General features: G+C 43.0%; 1 protein-coding gene across 1 annotated transcript in view, besides 2 other annotated features; it reads left to right on the top strand.

Annotated features, from left to right (window-relative positions):
- MARCHF4 (membrane associated ring-CH-type finger 4) overlaps nt 1-23,758 on the top strand; it is a 114,619-nt gene that overhangs the window by 22,132 nt on the left and 68,729 nt on the right. The gene's annotated exons all lie outside the window — the stretch shown is intronic.
- Nucleotides 267-964: an enhancer, noted in NCBI's record as "NANOG-H3K27ac-H3K4me1 hESC enhancer chr2:217214111-217214808 (GRCh37/hg19 assembly coordinates)". NCBI's record gives its function as "activates a minimal SCP1, AML or CMV promoter by ChIP-STARR-seq in primed H9 embryonic stem cells {active_cell/tissue: H9 hESC(primed)}" and the evidence as "EXISTENCE:reporter gene assay evidence [ECO:0000049][PMID:30033119]".
- Nucleotides 9,039-9,751: an enhancer, noted in NCBI's record as "H3K27ac-H3K4me1 hESC enhancer chr2:217205324-217206036 (GRCh37/hg19 assembly coordinates)". NCBI's record gives its function as "activates a minimal SCP1, AML or CMV promoter by ChIP-STARR-seq in primed H9 embryonic stem cells {active_cell/tissue: H9 hESC(primed)}" and the evidence as "EXISTENCE:reporter gene assay evidence [ECO:0000049][PMID:30033119]".

Below are 23,758 nucleotides of genomic sequence, written 5' to 3'. Positions count from 1 at the left end.
AGGAGTGTGGCATGGTGAGGGGGTGTGGCACAGTGAGGGGTGTGGCACAGTGAGGGGGTGTAGCACAGTGAGGGGGTATGGCAGAGTGAGGGGGAGTGGCAGAGTGAGGGGGAGTAGCATAGCGAGGGGGTGTGGCATGATGAGACAGTGGCGTAGCATGTTTGTGTTGTGGCACAGTGTAATGCCATGGCATAGCATGGTCGTGGTGGTGTGGCATGGCGTGGCATCGTGTGGCATAGCATGGTTGTGTTGTGGCATAGTGAGGTCATGTTGTATCACATTATGGTGTGGCAAAGCAAGGTGGTGTGGCAGGTGAAAGAAATCCACTTGATGAGTGTCAGAAGACAGGAGGGCAAGGCCCAGAGGCCCCTGAGCATGTTAGTTTTTTGCCTCCACCCAGCTGTCCCTTGCAGTGAGATTGGGAGGAAAGCATCAGGCCACGACCTGACCCAGTGACCCTACATAATAAAGATTTTGAGCAGTTCACTCTGCTGCTTCTCACTGTTGAGAAAAATGTTAAATGCCCAGTGACAACCAGGCACTCCTGAGGTCTGACCCTAACCTTTTGGTCGAGCCTCCAGCCTTGTCACTTTAACCTCCCACCAGATACTCTGGCTAATCCCCACTGCCTGCATCTCCATATAGACTCCATAGCTCTCTGCCTTTCATTTCCATTCAAAGGCATTCTTCCCCCCTGAGGCCTCTTTTCCATCACCATTCCAAGCCCAGCCTCCTCCAAGCCCTAGCCTGTCACATGTCACCTTCTCCATAAAGCCTCCTTCCTGCACTTCACATCATCCCCAGCTGTGCTTCTGCAGCACACAGTGCAGGCCGCCTGCTCTGTTATCACTATGTACCTGTGAAACCTCCATTTCCTCCTCCCAGGTGAACGATGAGCTCAAGGGAGCTTGTTCCATGTGTCTAGTTCACCTTTATACAGAACCTTGTGCCTAGCAATCGCAGAGGCTCAGAAAGGTAATGTAATTACCACAATCGAAGCCAATTAGGCACTTAGATACTTTGATGGATCCACTGAAGAAAAACTTGTTTTTGTTTTCCTAACCAGTATTCTCCCCTTTCTGCTAAGACAGGAGAGGAGAGATCCCTGAAACTTATGTTTTTAACCATCTTGTGGTTAGTACATCATTCTCTCAGCCCTTTCTTCAGCACATTGCACGTGCACACTGAATTTGTTACTGCTCACCACACTGGGAATTAGTCACTGAACAATGACTAATTGCTCTCAAGGAGCTTACCTTCTTGCTCTCAGATGCAGAAACCTAAAGACACCAGACAAGCCCAAACTGACCGATAGTTGGCAAAATCACTGATGTCTTCTCGGTGTCAAAATCCTGAAAGACAAGAAAGACTGAAGGACTGTGATATATGGCAGCAGGCCAAGGATAAACAACAATGAAGTGCAATGTGGAATTCTGGAACCAAACCAAAAAAATAGGATGTTAGTGGAAAATTGATCAAGTTTGAATGGAGTCTTTAGTGTGTACCATAATTTCCTGATTCTGATCATTGTGCAGTGAATATGTCTAATGTTAATGTTACAGGCAAAGGGTCCTGATCCAGACCCCAAAAGAGGGTTCTTGGATTTCTAGCAAGAAATAATTCAGGGCAAGTCCATAGAGTAAAGTGAAAGCAAGTTTATTAGGAAAGTAAAAGAATAAAGAATGGCTACTCCATAGAGCAGCCCCCAGGGCTGCTGGTTGCCCATTTTTATGGTTATTTCTTGATGATATACTAAACAGGGGTGGATTATTCATGCCTCCCCTTTTTAGACCACATAGGGGGACTTCCTGACATCACATGGCATCCGTAAACTGTCATGGCACTGGTAGGAGGGTAGCAGTGAGGACAACCAGAGGTCACTCTCATCACCTTCTTGGTTTTGGTGGGTTTTGGCCAGCTTCTTTACTGCCACCTATTTTATCAGCAAGGTCTTTATGACCTGTATCTTGTGCTGACTTCCTATCTCATTATGTTACTAAGAATGCCTTAACCGGCCAGGCACGGTGGCTCATGCCTGTAATCCCAGCACTTTAAGAGGCCGATCAAAGGGTGGATCACCTGATGTCAGGAGTTTGAGACCAGGCTGACCAACATGGAGAAACCCCATTTCTACTAAAAATACAAAATTAGCCTGGTGTGGTGATGCATGCTTGTAATCCCAGCTACTCGGGAGGCTGAGGCAGGAGAATCACTTGAACCGGGGAGGCGGAGGTTTCAGTGAGCTGAGATCACGCCATTGCACTCCAGCCTGGGCAACAAAAGCGAAACTCTGTCTAAAAAAAAAAAAAAAAAAAAAAAGAATGCCTTAACCTCCTGAGAATGCAGCCCAGTGAGTCTCAGCCTCATTTTACCCAGCCCCTATTCAAGATGGAGTTGCTCTGGTTAAAATGCCTCTGACATTAACATTAGAAAAGACTCAATGAGGGATGTATGAAAACTGTATTTTTGCAACTTTTTGGTAAGTCTGGAAGTAGTTCAAAATAAAAAGTTAAAAAAAAAAAAAAAAGAACCCTGTGCCTAATCCCCAATTCTTCTCTGTCTTTACCGTCACCCTATCTCCATCAAGGGCATTTTTCTTTTTTCTTTTTTTTCCCCTTTTTTTTTGAGACGGAGTCTTGCTCTGTTGCCCAGGCTGGAGTGCAGTGGCACCATCTCAGCTCACTGCAACTTCCGCCTCCCGGGTTTAAGCAATTCCCTGCCTCAGCCTCCTGAGTAACTGGGATTACAGGCGCCCACCACCACGCCCGGCTAATTTTTGTATTTTTAGTAGAGATGGGGTTTCATCATCTTTGCCAGGCTGGTCGGCATTTTTCAAACACCGTGTTCTTCTATGGCTTCTACTCTCTGGATAAAGAGAAACGGATGGATTCAAGAGATGTTTATACTGCCACCATCTCAGTTCAAGCTACCCTCCTCTCTTGCTCCTGGATTACTAAGCCTTTGTTTTGACTTCCTGCTTTCATTTTTATTTTCTCCATTCTATTTTCTACAGAATTGCAGAGTGATTGATCATTTTTCACCCAAGTCTGCTTCTCAAAATTGGCTTTAAATTCTTCTGTGGATCCCCTTCTCTTAGAATGATGCCACCGTTCTTTGACTTGTTTTACAGGGTCATTCATAGGCTGCTGTATTAGACCATTCTTACACTGCTATCAAGAAATACCTGAGACTGGGTAATTCACAAAGAAAATAGGTTTAGTTGGCTCATGGTTCCACAGGCTGTGCAGGAAACGTGGCTGAGGAGGCCTCAGGAAACTGACAATCATGGCAGAAGGTGAAGGGGAAGCAGGCACATCCTTACATAGCCAGAACAGGAGGAAGAGAGAAAAGGGGTGGTTGCTATACACTTTTAAACAACCAGACCCCGCAATAACTCACTCACTACCACGAGAGCAGCACCAAAGGGGAAATCCCCCCCATGATCTAATCACCTCCCTCCAGGCCCCACCTCTAACACTGGGGATTACAATTTGACATGAGATTTGAATGGGGACACAGACTCAAACCCTATCAACTGCCCTCTGCCTACCTCTCTAAACTCATGGCCTACCCTTACCTCCCACCTCTCATTGTATCTTCCTTAGGAATATTGAACTTCTTTCAGGTTCAAAGGAGCCATGCTCTCTTTTGCCCCAACCTATGGACCACTATTCCCTCTGCTTAGAAGCTTTCATCTCCTTACTTATGCCCTTTGCCCCCACCTGGTTAATTTCTCCCATCCTTCAGACCTTTCTGGCACACATGTGTGGTGTTCCTCCTATAAGCTTCAGCAGATCCCTACACTCAGACAGTGATCACAGCGCTCACTCCACTGCATATCATCACTCTGTATTCCCCTCTAAACTGTAATCCCCATAAGGGCAGGTGTTGTGTCTACTTCAGTATTTTGCAGAGGCTGGCACACTGAGGACACTCAATGAATTTTTGTTGAATGAATGAACCAACATTTTAAAGCATTAACTATATGCACAAAAACACCCAAGTTCCTAGCTATGTGTGTTCATGAGGGGGTGGTGGGTACCAAAGAAGCAGAGCTTGCCTTTGATGGGGTGTCTGTGCGTGTGTGGGTGGGTGGGGGTGGAGGGCTTAAAATCGATTCAAAATGTTGCTTGACATAGAATGACCAACTATTCTAGTTTGCCCAGAACTGACAGATTTCCCAAGATGTGAGACTTACAATGCTAAAATTGGGACAGTCCCTAACAAACCAGGACAGTTGGTCATCTTACAAGAATGCTCCAGCTAACTACACTGTAGACTGTTAAGCCCGAGAGACAACACTCAAATACTGAGTGTCTGCTTGCTGAGATGTCAGGAAGCACTTGTTCATGATTGGTTGATAGGTGCCTGTTTTCACACTCTAGGGAAAAGCAGACATCAGCTCTTTGCCAGGCTGCTCAGAGATAAGGAGGTGTGATCTCGGAGACCCTCCTATTTGATTTTACATGGGGTGGGTGGATTTAAGAGGTTAGTTCTCTAGCATAGAGCTTCTCAGGCTTCAGTGGAGAACAAGGCTGGAGTCCTTGTTGAATTGCAGATTCTGATTTCTCAGATCTGGGGTAGAGCCCGAAATTCTGCATTTCAAACAGGAATCCAGGCTCATGCAGGTACTTCTAATTCACAGATCACACTTTGAGCAGCAAAGGGGTCAGTGGTTCTCATTCTTAGCTGGCATATTAGAATTATCTGGGAGGGTTTTCCCAATGCCCAGCCACAAAACCAGACCAATTAAGTCAATCCCTAGGGGTGGGACCAGGCATTGGTATTTTTAACTTTCCCTAGGTTATTCCAATGTGCAGACAGGGTTGCAAATCCCAGGAAGGGGGAAGTGGAGAAAAATATAGCTTGATGATAAAGGCTGATTGATTGGTCCAGATGGGCTAGGCTGTGCTGTCAAGAGATTTATTGGAAGTAGAATCAGAAATCTAAAAGAAGTAGCTTATTTTGGAAAGCCTCGAGGCAAGATTCTTAAAAAAAAAAAAAAATCAGGGTATAATAGTTTGTGTTCTTTGGCCTTTTAGCAGGGAATCAACAACATCCCCTGAACCCTTGCTCGATGTGTAACCTTGGGGAGAAGAAGGGGCCGTGCTTTTACAGTATTCGTGGGGAGAAAGCAGAGGCCCTCCAAACCAGCAAACCACAGGTTTCACAGACCAAGGGATCTACACTGGACCTCCCACTATTCAGCCTTTCTTTTGTTTCTTTACTTGTTGATGTTTCCTAGCAGCTGTTCCCAACTTTTCTCATTCACATGAAGTTGCCATCCTCATTCTCAGCAGATGACCTTGCCTTCTACATTGCTGAGAAAATTGGGTTCAGCCGTTCACATTCCAACATCTTTCCCCTTCTGCTTGCCATCACTGCCTCTTCACTCCTGTAAATATCTATTTTTACCTAGACTCTCCCCTTTCCTATCTGAGAGAAAGAAGCACCCGGCCTCCTTCCCAGAGTGCTCTTTGTCCCAGCTCATTCCAGGATTTTCCATCTCCACGTGGACTTGGCTCCATCCATTACCACCTCCGCTCGCACCCACACAGCTCACTGTGGGACACCTTCAATCACTTCCTCTTTGCTGGCTCCCTCCCCTCTGCATGCAGGCAAGCCTTTAACACCCCTCCCTCTTTCATCTCCTTATGCCTACTCCTATTTTCCAATCTTGCTTCCACCTCCCTCACTGACTGAAACAGTTCCTTGGAAGGTCCCTGATGCCCTCATTGTAAAAATAAGGGGCCTTTTAGAAGCCCTGCCCTCCTTGATTCCCCTGAACATTAAGTATTCTCAATTTCCCATTCTTGCCAATATCAATTCCTCTCTTGGTTCTGTCTTTCATAAAGTCCGTGTGTGGTGACCATGAGGACTGGCTGCTCCACTCCACCCTGCTTCTGGTGAAGTCTTAGCCAAACTTTGGGCCCTTCCCCATTTGTGAGTCATGAAATCAATTCTACGAGAGGCAGCCGGCGTTCTCCTTCTCCACCCACGCCCCCACCATGAAATTCAGTAGAATAGGATAGGAAAAGTCAGAGTACATTATGTAGAGGAAGAGCAAGTATTGTCACATGTTTTTTTGTTTGTTTGTTTGTTTGTTTCTGTTTTTGTTTTGCTGTGGATGAGTTAAAAAGTTGGGAAGTTTCTGTTTTAGTTTGTCTTTCTGTACTGCCAAGCTGGGAAGTAAAAATGCCACTTCCCATTCCTCTATAACTAACACAACATTTCCAAAATCATAGTAAGACTATCTTCTGAAAACTGAGCTCTCTCCCAAATTCTCTACATTGCTAATGGTTTTGCCAGGGTTCCCATCAGTCCCCTCTCCCCTGCCCCATCCTCTGTGGCTTCTTCCTCTGGCCCCATCCATACTGGATCAATTCTCACTAGGTCCCACTCTGAGATCTCCAGCATTCATTCCCTCTCGTGATTCTCCTGCCTCAATTGCAGTTACAGATATTACTATTCATATCCAGATAGTACTTCTAGCTACTCTTCTGGCCTCTAGTTTCACAAAGTCCCCCGACTTCAGTTACAATCCTGATCTGTCATTTACCAGCAGCTATATGACCTCAGGAATGTTGTTGGACATTTCTGAGCTGCAATATCCCTATGTGCAAAGTGAAACTATTTAATATTTTTCTCACAGGGCTGTTCTCAGAATCAGAGGAATATGGAGATAAATATATATATACACATATAAAGCTGGATAAAGGATACACAAAGGGACTAGCACAAGTTAGGAGCTCAGATATTAGCTTCCAGCCTCACAATGTGTCTGACGCTATTATGGACTAAATGTTTGTGCACCGCCCCCAGCACCCGGATCATATGCTGAAATCCTAACCTCCGATGTGATGGTATTAGGAAGGGTGGGGACTTTAGGAGGTAATTGAGTTTAGATGAGGTCATGTGAGTAGATTCTCCATGATGGGATTAGTGTCCTTATGAGAAAAGCAAGAGACTAAAGCTCTCTCGGCCATGTAAGAATACAGCAAGAGGGAAGCTGTCTGCAAGCTAGAAAGACAGGTCTCACCAGAACCCAATCATGCTGGCACCCTGATCTCAGATTTTCCAGCCTCCAGAACTGGGAGAAATAAATATCTGTTATTTAAGCCACTCAGTCTATGATATTTTGTTATAGCAGCCCAAACTAAGACAGATACCCCACTAGCAAATCTTCCATGGCTCTCTATTGCCTGCTGAATGAAATATCTCAACTCTGGTCCTTGTCCTTTAAGAATCCCTCAACTTGGTCACAGCCTGCCATTTAAGCCTTCACTTTCCACCAGTCCCAGTCCTTTGGGACAGGGGGACAGTTCACCATTCTTCCTACAGACATGTATGCTCCTGTCCCCATGCTTCTTCCTCAGTCAGTCCTTTCTGCCTGCCCCACCCTCCCCACAGCCCCACCTTGCTCTCATGCTTGTCACTACAGCACAGTCTTGCTGAAGGTGATCACAAGAGCCCACCTACCAGCTGGTGGCCCCACCCAGGGCCTGGGAAGGAACTAGACTGGAACCCAGGAGCAGCAGGCATCCTGGAAGGGAGGGTGTACCGTGCGGCCACACTTGGCAATCAGTTCCCTGGGCCAGGGCAGAGAAGGTGGCATGTGGGCCTTTCTGCAGGATCATAGAAAACAAAACCTCAGCCCCTCCTAGGGGGTCTCTGAGTCCTCACTAAGACCCAAGTCCACTCATTCCTCCCACAAGAATGAACTCCAGAATCTCTCTAACATACCTACCCCATTCCCACTTCTCCATGCAGGTTCACACCCCTTCCCACCATTCCTGCAGGCATCCTAGGCCCATCTCAGCCACCCCTAGCAACCTTGCCAGTCCCTCTGCAGACCTGTCCTCAGCCCCAGCCCAACCATCAACAGGACACATGCCGACTGGAGCACAGAAACATTTTTGCACCCAAGAGGGTCTTCTCTCCTCCTTGGAGACAGGCAGATTTGGGTTCAACCAGCTGCCTTCTCTTGTTCCAGATGAGTTCTCCTGTTGGCTCCCATCACCCCATAGAAAACTGATTTTCAGTTTTCTCCTCTTTCAAGTGGAGAGAATAACAAGAACCTGGTGGGTCGTTGTGAGGAATTAACTGCAGTTAAAGTTCAGCACAGTTCCTGGTACCCTAAGGCCAGAGGGCTCAAACTGGGGGCTCTCAGAGGGCATATGGGCAAAGATACATTTTCTTTGGCCTAGTCTGGCTATGTAAACAAATGTTTTAAAATAAAAAGTTCTACACACACATACACACTTCAGATCGGACTCCTCTTGAAAAATGGGAAGATCCAGAATCAATGGGCTGCTTCCTCCCATGAGGCAATTATGGGCCACTGCTGAATAGTGGTTGCCCCTAATGATGAGTTTGCCACAGTCATCTCCAACCTTCTCATCTGACCCTCTGGGCATATGGCTGATATTTAATATTGCCGTAATATTGCAGTCCTTCTGTGCTGGTTGGTGAGCAGCTGCTATCTGGGATTCCACCATCCTGGCTGCTCCAGTCCCTCCCTGGGACCCCCAAGACCTAATTAGGATTCAGCACCTAAAGGGTTAATTCCCAGCCCAGTAGGGGAGACCCTGGGACTGTGCTACTTGGTGGCTGATGGATTGGTGTCTATGCAGGTCCAGTTGTTAAAGATTTAGAGTAAGATTCCCATCGGGAGGCACCGGTGTTGCTGTCCTCCATTCACTGCTTCAGTCCTCAGCTTTGAGAACAGGATCTGGTGCACAGTAGGTACTAAGCCTACTAGGACTTTGACTTTGTGGACTGAGTTTTGCCTTATGCCCTTAAAACCATTAGTTTCCTCTCCTTGGCCTTGCCCTCCCCTTCCTTTGAGGCTAACAGAAGAGGGCCCTCCCAGATGCTACCCTTTGCACAGCTCTGCCTCTCCCCAGGCTCAGTCTGCATCAGCAGTGAATGTGGGTGGGGTCTGGGCGGCTCCCTTGGCTCAGGCTCAAGCCCCTGTGGAATAGGCAAGCAGGCCTCTTCTAGGAGCCATGGTTGAGGGATGCAGCTGGTGCCTTTTGCCTTGTGGGTAGCCAAAGTACAGTCATTCACGAGAGACCGTGGGTGTAATCAAAACCATTTTATTTCTCAGACAATGGAAACAAACAGAACAGCCATCTCAGTCAGGACATGGAAGGACCAGCAGGGAGCAGGCAGATTGGAGGAGCTGCAAAATGGTATAAACTAATGGAAATGATTCTGCTGGCACTGCTCACTGCCTCCTCCGAATAGTTCCAGTGACTGCTTTCCTGGGGCCCAGCCACTCAGAGAGGGTAAACGCTGGGGGATCCGAGGAGAGTGAGGGGAGGAGGAGGAAGAGGGACTGACTGACAACTGGGCGTAGTTCACAACCTGGACATTTAACTTTCCAAGCCAGGGGGCTTCGGTGTGAGTCTTGTGCTGCCCCTGACTGGCTGTGTGACCTTGGACAAGGTGCCTCACTTCTCTGGGCCTCAGTTTTCATATCACTGAGTAGACTGGGGTAGTGCAGCATCCAAGGCCCTGCCAGCCTCTATTCTGTGGCCCCCACATATTGTTTTATATACTATACTTCCCTTGTCCCTACCCCAACACTGTATTTTCTCTGTTGAAATACTTGGCTCATAGACAGCTCTGTCTCCTACAGCCAGGAGCTCATCCTCAAGGGTAGGGACCACTTCCTTTCCCTTTTTGTCCATGAAGTCCTAGGGGCATGGGAGATGCTCTGTCAACCCTGGGAGGCTGGACCAAGGGTAGGCTAAGACTGTTGCAGGTGGCAGCCCTGGGGGGCTACTGACAAAGGCCAAAGGAAGAGTAGGTGCTGGTGGAATTAGGTGAAATTGCTGGCTTGACTGGATTTGGATGGGGTTTGTTGACTCAAGCCTGGAACACCCCAGGCCTCTTCCTCTCCCTTCTCTAAAGATAGCCTCAGAAGGCTGCAGGAGGAGAGCCAGGGAGGCCTGTGTGAATTCCTGGTGAAACCGAACTGCCAGCCCTTCAAAATCACTATGGGGTTTATATTCTTGTGTCACCCTAAATTCAACAACAAACAACACTCAGATGGGGAATTCCACCCCCACTCCCTCCCAGCCCACTCCGAGGTCCCTCATTCTGGCCAGGAGAGCTAAGACTGGTTCCAAGCACCCAGGCTGTAAAAGGAATCTGGCAGCAGGCTTTGTGGAAAAGCTCCAGGGATTGGATGGGTCTGAACAGCAGCCCCACCCTCTCAACTTCCTGTTTCTTTTGTTTGGGGCGAGGGCTTGGGAAGAAAGGCTGCAGGGGAGGTTTGGGAAAGGGAGAGGCGGATAACGGCTGGAAATTCAGCTTCTCCAACCCAGGGACTTGAGGGAAAGGGGGTGGGTGCTGGGGAGGAGAGCCCAGCAGGGAGGGAGCCAGCTGCTGCTTGATTTAAGGAGTTGTTTTCCAGTCACCCCAGCAGGAGGCCCAGAGAGATGGTGGAAATTAAGTGCTTAAGTCCCCCGAGGCTCCATGGTACCTTATTGCCCTGGCTGGGTCCTGGGTGATAATGGGATCTCCTGGAGGGTCTCTATGGGATCCTTGCTGATGCCAGCCTTATACTTGAGAGGCCCCAATAAAACCCAAAGCCCTAAGTCAGTGCCTGCCCCATAGAAGGCACATGAATGAACGAATGAACAGATGGATGAATGACCAGGAGGGCAGATGAGGATTTGAAAAGGATTGTAAAACTGCCAGACTCCCTGTGTTAATGCCACTTTCACTCTTGCTGAAGAAAAACACTTCTCCACTGAGCAGCCAAGAGAGAAAAGCGTGTTTTACAAGAGGAGGGGAAGGGTAGAGGAGAGGAAAGAATGAATGGATTTTGTGTTTTGACATATTTACTAAAAAATGTGGAAACTGCTCAGCACCTGCTAATTAGAGTCAGAGCAACCTGCACTCCCTGTGATGTGCAAATGCCAAGGCAGTGGGAGCCTGAAGGATGGGTGGATTTCCCAAGGGGATTATGGGCTTTTTCCCAATGGAGGAGAGAGGACCATGGGAAGTAGGAGGGTGGAGATGAGGAGCAGAGGGAGGTGCAGAGAAGGGCATGGCCATTGAACACTACACCTTGGATTTCTTGGCATATTTCATTTACTGTCTTCTCCCATAGATGCCTAGAATGACAAGACTGCTGTTGGGTGCCAGGAAAGGGGGGATTGGTGACTAGGTCTGTCCTCTCAAACTACAGATCAGGAACTGCAATCCTGAGGTCAAAGACTGGTCCAAGGCTCCCCTTGCCTTTTTTCTAACTCTCACCTCTCTTAGGAATCTCTCCCATCTCCCCGCTCCTTTCTGTCCAACCTGGGACAGCCAAGAGGTAGGAACACAGGTCCTGGATTCAAACAGCCTGGGTCTCACTCTTCTTTCTCCAACTTGCTTGCTGTGCCTTTTGGGAAAGTTTCTTGGCTTTGGCTTTTTCTCTTGTAAATGGGAGATAATAAGAGCACTCACTTGGTAGGGTTGTGGTGAGGATTAAATGAGATGATACGTTTGAAGACCTTGACACTCAGTAACTATTCAATGACTGTGGGCTACCATCTTTGAAGACTTTGGAGTTCAAGAGCCATGAGTATCCTAGTTCAGCCACTGATTAGCTGTGTGACTATATGGGTCAGGATCTGTTCAGGAACACAGGCCATGCTAGATGGTTCATGTGGGGATTTTAACATCAGGAACTAATTATAGAGGTGGCAGTGGAGCTGCAAGTCCACGCAGGAGAGGCTGAGGCGGAGCAGAGATGGAATGTAGGAAGGCAGTGCCTAAGCTGGAGGGACAAAAGGAGGAGGTAGGTTACTAGAACCTGGGAATCCAGGGTTGATGGGAACTGCGACCACTGAGGAAGGGCTGTCAAGGTTTATGGGGGCTGGAACCAAGGAGGCAAACAGCCACTGTTGAAGCTACTACCTGCAGTTGCTACGTGGAGCTGGGAGGAAGGCGGCAGAAACTTCTGTGGTTTCTCCCTAACTCCCATCCTCCAGACTCCCACTTGGCTGAACCAGTTGGCAATGGTGTCTAGGTAGTGTAGATTGCCGGGGTCAGTGCTCTGGGAGAGACAGCAGAAGAGGACAAGGCAAGGAGTGACCACACAGCACCTGGGCAAGTTACTTACCCTCTTACACTACAGTGTTCTAAACTGCTTAAGAAAAAGTTGGGAAGGGGAGAGGATGCTTGGTATGATTGCTGGGAGAATTATATGACATAAGGCACATAAAGTCTATACCACAGGGCCTGGTCATAGCCAATAACTGTGGGCTCATCATGTTCCCTCCTCCAGGATCCAACTCCAGTCTTACCTCTTCAAGAAGTCACTGCTGACCTCTGTGATCTTAGACCACTTTGCTCATACTTTTATGAGTGTGTTTTTCCACATTGCAGTGCCATTTCTGATCAAATATCTGTCTCTTCCACTAGAGTCTGAACTTCTAGGAGTGTCTTCCTCCTTTTGGTGTCCTTTGCTCCTTGAGTGCCTGCCACTCAACAGTTAGAGGATGCAAACCCTGTATGTCAGCATACAACATGTAAGTGTTAAAAAACAGTCTCCAAGCAATGCTGTAGTTCGTGGGGTATGAATTTCTAGAAGTAGTAGGTCGCTAACCAAATTTAAAGAAGGGAAGGGAAAGACCACGAAAGAGATGTGAAGGTCAAGGAAAATGAGAAACACGAAGACTTGGAGAGAGGCACAGTGGCTTATATAAGGCCATATACCTTGGAAGCGTGTCCTGGCTTCTAAGCTAATGAGTGATTAAAAACTCTTTTTTCTTTTTATAAAGAATAACACATTTTCAGTGTGGAAATTTTAGAAAATTCAGGTAAACAAAAAGAAGAAAATAAAAATTATCCATAATGCCAACCCCAAAATAACTAAATATTTTGGAGTTTATCCACTCAGTCACATGCATATGGCATTTTTTTGTGTGTTTACTAAAGTAGTATCAGTCTGTTTCACAGCTTTTTAAAAACAGTAATGCTTGAAGAACTTTTCAAGACATCAAATGTGCTTTCACAGCACAAATTTTAAAGCTTCATAACAGTCCGCTGATCCATTTAACCAACACCTGTTATTGAAATTTTTACTTGTCTTTAATATTTTACTGTATTAGATAATTCTGGTACAAAATCCATGTAGCCTGATCTTTTTGCACATTGTCATTCATTCTTTTTTAACCTTTCTTTTTTTTTTTTTTCAAGAGGGAGTCTTGCTCTGTCACCCAGGCTGGAGTGCAGTGGCATGATCTCAGCTCACTGCAACCTCCGTCTCCCAGGTTCCAGCGATTCTCCTGCCTCAGCCTCCTGAGTAGCTGGGACTACAGCCATGCACTACCATACCTGGCTAATTTTTGTATTTTTAGTAGAGACGGGGTTTCACCTTGTTGGCCAGGCTGGTCTCAAACTGTTGACCTCAGGTGATCTGCCTGCCTCAGCCTCCCAAAATGCTGGGATTACAGGTGTGAGCCACTGTGCCTGGACTGTTTTAAAAATAATTTATTTGAAGCAGAATTGTTGGTCAATGAATCCCATTCACATTTTTACAGTTTCTAACAAGGGTTGCCAAATTGCTTTCCAGAAAGCTTTTTTTTTTTTTTTTTTTTTTTTTAAATCTATTTGCCTTTCCCATTTGCCATGGAGGAAGTGGTTTTGGGTGAATTTACCAACACTGAATCGATCTAAAGCCATTTTTCCAAAAACCAATTCATCAAATAACCAATTCACAAAATAGCCAGTTAGGAAGATAGAGTGACAGACAGACAGATAGAACAAGCCAAAGACAGACAGAACAGACAGAACAAGCCAAAGCCAATTCTTCAAACTACCAATTAACAGAGTAAATAATTTAACAAATGTACTGATTAACATAGTTGTAAAGATTTCTACTGCGCAAGAAGGTTTTCATGTGGTTTTTGGAGATCACCAACAAGTCTGAGTGGATGGGTTTTCATTTTGTTCTTAAGCAGGCATTACGGATTACTCAGTTTGTTGAAATGATGGGGCTTTGTGTGTGGGTATCTTTAATATTCAAAAAGTGTATTTCCTCATTAGACACCAGAATGTTGTCATTTTAAACAAAAATCTTTCGGTTTTTACTGATTTGTTTTGAATTCTTTTTTAATGTCATTTTCTGTTGCCACACTTAAAATTTTTATGAGTGTTCAGTGTTCAGCTACTTTCTCCATAGTTTCTCAGCTTAGCAATTGTCTAGCATTTTTTGGATTAATAACCAATTGACTTGTTACCTTTCCTTAGATACCTTTTTTTTTTTTTTTTTTTTTTTTAGACAGAGTCTCACTCTGTCACTCAGGCTAGAGTGCAGTGGTGCAATCTCGGCTCACTGCAACCTCCACCTCACTGGTTCAAGTGATTCTCCTGCCTCAGCCTCCTAAGTAGCTGGAATTACAGGTTTGTGCCACCATGCCCAGCTAATTTTTGTATTTTTAGTAGAGATGGGGTTTCAACATGTTGGCCAGGCTGGTCTTGAACTCCTGACCTCAAGTGATCCACCTGCCTCGGCTTCCCAAAGTTCTGGGATTACAGGCATGAGCCACTGTGCTTGGCTTTCCTTAATATTTTTGTATTTTATATATTTCTATTGTATATTGATCATTAATGTCTGTCATATTCAAGGCACTCATTGTACTGCTCATTAAAGTAATCTCTCCTAGATTTCTGTACTCTTTTTTGGCTGCCTGGAACAGTTTACTCTTTTTTGTCAACTCTTCTGCAAACTGCTACTAAGTCCTCAGATCCCAAGTATTCCTTGCTAGACATCAAAATGTCAGAATTTCATATTAGATGGTATTGTTTCCTCTGATCTCTTTAGTGTGCTGGTGAATGTCTCTTACATTTATTCAATTACATGCATTTTTAGCATTCATTTGCTAATTCCTCAGATTGTGTGTTAACCTCAATGCATTTCTAGCCATTAAATTGTTAAATTTTTATCATTTCTCCTGTAAAGAATTCACAGGATTGTTTTGGACTCCTGCGTGCCATTTTCTATCATTCCCATTTTTAGTCATTTGGGGCTTTCTTTTGTCAATTTCTCAATGGCATATCAGTTTCTATTTTAAATCCTTCTGATGGTTTCTGCCCTTTTCTTGCTTGGCGCATCTTCTGGGCTACTATTTGGAGCCAATTAGTGTTTGACTCTCTTAGTTAATTTCATATTTATAGCGAATCTGTATCCAGATTTGGTGATTCTAGTCTGTCACTGATACCTTCTTTTTTATATTTTGACCAGTTTTGTCTTGATTGTGAGCTATATAGATTTTCTGAAAATTGCTACCAAGTTGATATTATTATTTTTTTACAACATATAAATCATCTATGATTACTGGAAGTAGCACATAGCCATTTGAACAGTGGGAGTAGTTCTGAAGGTTCCCTTCCTACATCATCCCTCACAGTACTCCAGAATCCACAGGCTACTTTCAGTGTTGTTGTAAATCAGTAAATTTGGTACATTTATTGACTTATTCCATTAACGGGCTATTTGGAGAATCCATGTTTTAGTGAATTCTTTTCTGATAAAACAGCCTGCTTTCTTATGAAAGTCCTATTTTCTTGCCTCCTTGACAACTATCTCAGTTTTCCATTGCTGCTGTACTATTATAAATAGCTATAAACCAGGCAGCTTTAGGCCAGGCGCACTGGTGGCTCATGCCTGAAATCCCAGTGCTTTGGGAGGCTGAGGTGGGAGGATTGCTTGAGGCCAGGAGTTTGAGACCAGGCTGGGCAAGGAAGCAAGACCTCATCTCTACAAAAAATTTAAAAACTAGCTGGGCATGGTGGCCTGCAACTGTAGTCTTAGCTACATGGGAGGCTAAGGCAGGAGGATCACTTGAGTTCAGGAGTTGGAGGCTACAGTGAGCTGTGATTATATCACTGCACTCCACCCTGGGCAACAGAGCAAGACCCCAAAAAAAAAAGATGTTAGCATATCACCTTACTTTCTGGAGGCCCTAGGGAAAAATTCATTTTTTGCTCATTCGGGTTGCTGGCAGAACTCAATTCCCTGTGATTGAAGGAAGAAGTCTCTGTTTTCTTGCTGGCTAGCGGCTACCACATTCCTTGGCTCAAGGCCTTCTTCCTCCATCTTCAAATCCAGCAACAGCAGTCAGTCCTCCTCACATCACATCTTTCTGATCCACTCTCCTGCCTTCTTCCACTTTTAAGGGCCTGTGTCATTAGATCAGATCCACCTGGATGATCTAGGACAATCTTCCTACACTCAGCTGATTAGCAACCTCAGTTCCCCTTTGTCATGCAGTGTAACATATTCACAAGTTCCATGGTTTAGGATACGGGCATCTTTGGGGGGTCATGTTCTATTCTGCCTATCAAGCCAACATTAGGTATCATTCTTAAAAAAAAAAAAAAAATTACTTCAGCCAGGCTGTTTCAGGCCTCGATTTAGGAGAGTGACACAGGAGGCCCAATGATTGCTTTGGCACCATGTCACAAAAGTTTCCCCCACATTCTACGCCACGGTGGCTCCAGGCTGTGGTCAGTTCCTAAGGGTGTTGAGATGTGTCCTAGGGACGGGTCTCTTTCCAGGAGCTGCTAAATATAGGAGGATAGAAGCCCTCGTCACGCTCCTGAGGGAGAAAAGGTGAGAAGAAACTTGGAAGATTTTAAGAGAAAATGGGCTCAAAAGAGATTATTTTAGTGCAGGGAGACATGAGTAAACCTGGAGCAAGTGAGGAGCTGATTTTATGATTCCTATACTGCAGCTGCTGGGACGTGGGGCATGCATGTGTGATTTTCGTGGCACCTACCACATAGATTTCCATATATGTTGTGCAATTTCCATTCCCACTAGCAATGAAGAGTCTCCACAGCTTCTGCAACAATGGTATTTTCCATCATTTTAATGTGAGTCAATCCAGTGCGGTCATATGACATCTCATTTTGGTTTTAAATTCATTTTTTACGAGCACTGAAACTGAACACTTTTTCATAAATTTATTCGCCCTTTGGCCATCTTCTTTTGTGAAGTACCTGTTCAAGCCTTTTACTCATTTTTCTACAGGGTTAGCTGTCTCTTTTTGGTTTTTAAGAGTTCTTTATATGTTTTGAATTTCAGTTCTTTGGCATATATGCGTTTTGCAAATATCTTCTTCTATTCTGGGGCTTGCCCCTTTACTCTCTAAATTAAATCTTTGGCTGAGCTAATGTTCTTAATTTTATCAATTTTTCCCTTTATATAATTAATGGTATTTGTGTGTATGTAAGAAAATTTTGCCTGTCCCAAAGATCATGAAAACATTCTTCTTTGTTTTCTTCTAGAAGAGTTATGGATTTTCCTTTCACATTTAATCCATCTAGAACTGGTTTTTGTGTATGGGATTGGGTGGGTTCAAGATGCACTTTTTTTGGTATGGATATGCAATTTACACAGCAACTATTTATTAAGAAGACTAACTTTCCCTCACCACCCTACCATTTCACACTTGTCATAAATCAAGTAATTGTGTATCCGTGTATGTGGATCTATGTCTGTACCCTTCTCTATTCCACTAATCTCCTTCAATTTAATTCAATACCACACTGAATTAATTACTATGGCTATATCATTAGTCTTAATATCTGGTAGTTCAGACAGCTTTGTTAATCCATAGATGCATTTGGGGAGACGACCGTCTTTATATTTTATTAAATTTCTCTCAGCAAAGTTTTATAGTTTTCAGTATAAAGGTCTTGCACATCTTTTATAACACCTAGTTTTAAGTATTTTAAACTTTTGATGCTATTGTAAATGAAATTAATTAAAATTTTTTTCCTTTCTGTTTGCACTGATAATATAAATTGACCTTTTTTTTTGCACTGGCACGTATACAGAGCAGTGATTTTTATATTGGCCTTAAAATCAATAAATCTTGCCAAATTTGGGGGGTTTCGGGTTTTTAGTTTTTTTCTTTTTTCTTTTCTTTCTTTCTTTTTTTTTTTTTTAGACAGAGTCTTGCTCTGTCACTCAGGCTGGAGTGCAGTGGCTCAATCTCGGCGCACTGCAACTTCCACCTCCCGGGTTCAAGCGATTCTTGTGCCTCAGCGTCCTGGGTAGCTGGGATTACAGGTGTGTGCCACCATGCCCGGCTAATTCTTTGTATTTTTAATAGAGACAGGGTTTTGCCATGTTGCCCAGGCTGATCTCAAATTCCTGGGCTCAAGTGATCCTTTCGCCTTGGCCTCCCAAAGTGCTGGGATTACAGGCATGAGCCACTGTGCCCGGCCCCAAATTCAGTTTTTGATCACAATTTGTAGATTATTTTTTTCTATGTATATAATGTACTGACTACAAATAATGCAAATTTTATTCTTTTCTTTCCAATTCTTATAACAAGTTACATATTTGTTTTTATTGTTTTATTGAAGTGGCTTAAGACTCCTAGTATAATACGAATAGAAATCGTGATGTGTGCTGAGCATCTTTTCATTTCTGATTTCATGGGAAAATTTTCACTATTTCTCAAGTATTATTTTTACCTTAAGAGTTTTGTGGATACTCTAAAAGATCTAGAAATTCTCTTTTAGTCTGAGTTCACTAATAACTTTTTCATTCATGGGTGTTAAAATATTAAACCTTTTTCTCATTTATTTAGATGACCATATTGATTTTTCTCAGTTATTTTGTTTAGGGCATGAACTACGTTGATCGGTTTTCATTTGTTAGATAATTCTTGTGTTTTTGAACAAATCCGCTTAGTCCTGATCTATTGTCTATTTTATGTATCATTGGATTCAATTTGCTGATATTTTGTTTGTAAGTTTTGTGCTACATTCTTGGAAGAGATTGGCCAAAATCTTCTCTCCTTTTCATGTGTATGTCAGATTTTGATATCCAAATTATATTGGCTTCATAGAATGTAATATTCTCTATTTTTTGAGTTTGCACAGTATTGATATTATTTATTTCTGAAATATTTGGGATAATTCATCAGTGAAGCCATTTGTGCCTAGAGTTTTCTTTGTGTGAAGATTTTTAATTATATATTTAATTGATTTAGTAGATATACAGCTATTCAGATTTTTATTTTTTAATTGTTTTTTTTAAATTGTGCTTTTCTAGAAAGTTTTCCATTTACCTAAATTTTCTAAAATGTTTGGCATAAGGATATGTAATAGTCTATTAACTTCTTAGTGTCTGAAAGGTTTGCGGTGAATTTAATTTCTGATATAGGTAATTTGTGCTTTTCCTCTTTTTGTCTTGACGAGTCTTGTTAGAGATCAATTCATTTTTATTAGTCTTTTCAAAGACCAAAATTTGGCGTTGTTGACTTTCTCTAAGGTGCATTTGTTTTCTATTTCATTACTTTCTTTTTTTGTTGTTTTGTTTTGTTTTCTAATTCATTAATTTCTGATCTTATTTTTATGATTCCCTTCCTTCTTCTCACTTTGAGTTTAATTTGCCGTTCTTTTAAAACATTATTCAATGAATACTTAGATTCTTGAATTTCAGCCTTGTTCTTTCCTAATATAAATGTATAAAGCTATAAGTAAAGCTTTAATTGCATCACACATTTTTGATTTGTCATATTTTATTATTAAGGATGAAATTTTTCCACTGTGATTTCTTCTTTAACCCATGGATTACTTAGAATTTTATTAATATTCGGTGATATTTTAGGGTTTTTTTGTTATTGATTTCTAGTTTAAGTTAACATACTCAGAAAATTCTGACTGATTTCAGTTCTTGGGATTTTCTTAGAACTTGGTTTTTGCCACAATATATGTTCAAATTTTAGAAACATTTCACGTAGACTTGGAAAGAATGTATTAATACTTTTGTCATCATTGTGAACAGTGTTTTGTATGCATCTGTAGGTCAAGTTTGTGTCAATTTTGTTTTTCAGATCTTTCATATCCTCGTTAATTTTTTTGTCTGATCATTCTGTCAGTTATCAAGAGAGATGTGGTAAAGTTTCCCTCTGTGACTGTGGCTTTATCTGTTTCTCCTTTAGTTCTGTTCATCTTTGTTTTATATACTTTTAGTGATATGAAAGTTATATATAAGCCAATAATTGTTATATTTTCCTGACACATTGACCATACTGTCATTATAAAATCATTATCAATGAAAAAATTGACCACACTATCACACTATCATTATAAAATGGATGACCATATTCATTCATTACAGCATTAATCTCTCTGGTAGTGCTTCATGCTATAAATCTACTTTGCCTGGTATCAGTATAGCTACACAGTTTTCTTTTGATTGGTGTATACTAGGCATTTTTTTTTTTTAATGAGGCAGATTCTCATTCTGTTGCCCAGGCTAGAGTACAGTGATCAGAGCTCACTGCAGCCTCAAAATCCTGGGCTGCAGGAATTTGAGGCAAGGAATCCTCTTGCCTCAGCCTCCCAAGTAGCTAGGACGACAGGTGTGCATCACCACACCAGCTAATGTTTTATTTTTGTAGAAACAGGGGTGTCACAATGCTACCCAGGCTGGTCTCAAACTCCGGCCCCAAGCGATCCTCCCACCTTGGCTTCCCAAAGTGCTGAGATTACAGGTGTGAGCCACTCAACCCAGCCCTTTTCTTTCTACCTTTTGTGTCCTTATACTTAAGGGACATACAGTTGGGTTTTTATATTTTATCTAGCATGACCGTATTCGTATTTTCATTGAAGTAGTCCGTTTACATTTAATGTAATTACTGATATAGTTAGGTTTATATTTACTATCTTTCTATTTGTTTTCTGATTTTTTATTTGTCCTACCTGTTTTATGTCATTTTCTCTCCTTTCTTGCCTTCTTTTATATTAATCCAGTATTTTTCCCTGTATTAGCTTCTCAGTTATATGTTCTTCTATTCTTCTTATAGTGGCCACTCTTTCTTACTATGGTCCAATATAAGTTGATATTTTTCCCATTTCTGAAATAATCCAAAGACCTTAGAAAGTTTAAACCTGTCAACTACCTCAGGGTGTTTTTTGTTTGTTTGTTTGTTTGTTTTTTGAGACTGAGTCTCGCTCTGTCACCCAGGCTGGAGTCCAGTGGCGCCATCTCGGCTCACTGCAAGCTCTGCCTCCCAGGTTCACGCCATTCTCCTGCCTCCGCCTCCCGAGTAGCTGGGACTACAGGTGCCCGCCACCAAGCCTGGCTAATTTCTTTGTATTTTTAGTAGAGACGGGGTTTCACCATGTTAGCCGGGATGGTCTCGATCTCCTGACCTCGTGATCCACCCGCCTTGGCCTCCCAAAGTGCTGGGATTACAGGCGTGAGCCACCGCGCCCGGCCGGGTGTTTTTATTTTTATCATAGCATTTATTTATTTGTTTATCTTTGTTTTGTTTTCTTGTTTGTTGTTTTTCTGAGACGGAATTTCGTTCTTGTTGCTCAGGCAAAATCTCAGCTCACTGCAACCTCCACCTCACCGGTTCAAGTGATTCTTGTGCCTCAGCCTCCAGAGTAGCTGGAATTACAGGCACCCACCACCATGCCTGGCTAATTTTTGTATGTTTAGTAGAGACAGGGTTTCACCTTGCTGGCCAGGCTGGTCTCAAACTCCTGACCTCAGGTGATACAACTGCCTCAGCCTCCCAAAGTGCTGGGATTACAGGTGTGAGCCTCTGCACCCGGCCTATCATAGCTTTTAATTCTACAAATATTTAATCCCCCATAAGATGTCATTGTTATTGCTCTTTGCAACCAATATTCTATTGCATTTATACCAGATTTACTCTTTGAGTTGCCCTTCATTTTTTCCTGCATTTTCCACAAACAACTAGTAAACTCTGGGTGATGTCTCCACTCACTAAGAAGTGAACAAGGGCTCTAACGGCCCCTGGAGGGCAAAGCTGGGATGTAGCAGGAGTCACAGTGAAATAGAACCATAAGTCCTAGGTTCTGCCAGATGTGTGGTTTGAACAACTTATTTCATATTTCTAAGCCTCAGTTTCTTCTCTTAACAAGCCTCAGGATTGTTGGGCGAATCACGAGGTTAGGAGATCGAGACCATTCTGGCCAACATGGTGAAACCCCGTCTCTACTAAAACAAAAATTAGCCGGGCATGGTGGTGCACACTTGTAATCTCAGCTACTTGGGAGGCTGAGGCAGGAGAATCACTTGAACCCAGGAGGTGGAGGTTGCAGTGAGCCAAGATCGCGCCATTGCACTCTAGCCTGGCGTCAGAGCGAGACTCCGTCTCAAAAAAAACCAAAACAAAACAAAATAAATCAGGATTGTACGCCCCCTTGCCTTTCCTGTCTTGCAGGTATACTCAAGATTAAATGAGGTAGTAGATGTAAAAGCACTGTATGAACTACAACAGGGATTATAAGCTGATCTATGGGCTATGTGCAGGCAGCAGACATGTTTTCTTGACCTACAGAGAGCTTTCTTTCTTTTCTCTTTCTTTTTCTTTTCTTTTTTTTTTTTTGCAAGCTAATATTAAAAAAAAATATTTCACATAAAAATACAAATTTCTGCCTTTTTCCCTGGAAGGAAAATCTGAAGATCTGGTGACTGTAGAAAACCTGTAGATCTGGTTTCACACCTGTAGAACAATGAGGTAGAGCTGAATAGTGCTTACCCTCTGCCTGGGCACAATCTCAGTTGGGTCAAATCCTGCCATTCTCAACAAGGACAAACATGCACTCATTTATGTGGCCAGGTTTACTCCACTCTGCCTCCTTTCTTATCTCATTTCATGGCTCTTGCTAAAGCATTATATCAACATTAGTGGTTATTACCCATTTAAAAGCTAGGGACACACAGAGACAGAGCTTTCTAATGTTAAGTGTTGCTAAGCGCTGAAACAGGTGACTGAGAGAGGTTGCAGAAAAGCTTTCCCTGGAGATCTAAAAATAAAACCAACTGGTTTTTATCTATAGACTTTCCAGGATGCAGGAAAGTGGCAAAATGACTGTACCAAGGTCCTTCTAGGTTTTAAATTGGCTGGGGGTGGGGAGGAGCTATTTTAAAACCTATAGAAGCAGACCTTAAGATGAGGGGAAAAAAATAGAATCTGTATGCTGGTGGTGGGGGGGTGAAGATTTTTCATGGATAGATTATATATTGTAATATAATTCAGCATTTGGAAAACAAAAAACTTTAGAATATAGGGAATAGAAAGGGCATGGGGCTTTTATCAAAAAGAGGCATGGATTTGTCAAAATGTATTGAACTGTCCAGTTAAAATCTGTGAATTTCACTGTGTGTAAATTATATCTCAATTTAAAAAAAAAATACAAAGTAAAAACAAAATTTAAAAAGGGAGGCAGGGAGTAAAGTCTCATTCTAACCTGTATCAGTCACTTAGTATATGCCAAACACTGTGACTAACATGGATTAATTGGATTATTTTATCCTCACAGTAACTTATACGGTAGATACTATTATTTTTTGTTATTTATTTATTTATTTATTTTTTATTATTATACTTTAAGTTTTAGGGTGCATGTGCACAATGTGCAGGTTAGTTACGTATGTATACATGTGTCATGCTGGTGTGCTGCACCCACTAACTCGTCATCTAGCATTAGGTATATCTCCCAATGCTATCCCTCCCCCCTCCCTCCACCCCACAACAGTCCTCAGAGTGTGATGTTCCCCTTCCTGTGTCCATGTGTTCTCATTGTTCAATTCCCACCTATGAGTGAGAATATGCGGTGTTTGGTTTTTTGTTCTTGCGATAGTTTACTGAGAATGATGATTTCCAGTTTCATCTATGTCCCTACAAAGGACATGAACTCATCATTTTTTACGGCTGCATAGTATTCCACGGTGTATATGTGCCACATT

Source organism: Homo sapiens, chromosome 2 (assembly GCF_000001405.40).
Source record: "Homo sapiens chromosome 2, GRCh38.p14 Primary Assembly".
NCBI classification, from domain to species: domain Eukaryota; kingdom Metazoa; phylum Chordata; class Mammalia; order Primates; family Hominidae; genus Homo; species Homo sapiens.
Note: the sequence above shows the minus strand (reverse complement) of the source record. Positions and strands in the feature narration are given on the sequence as shown.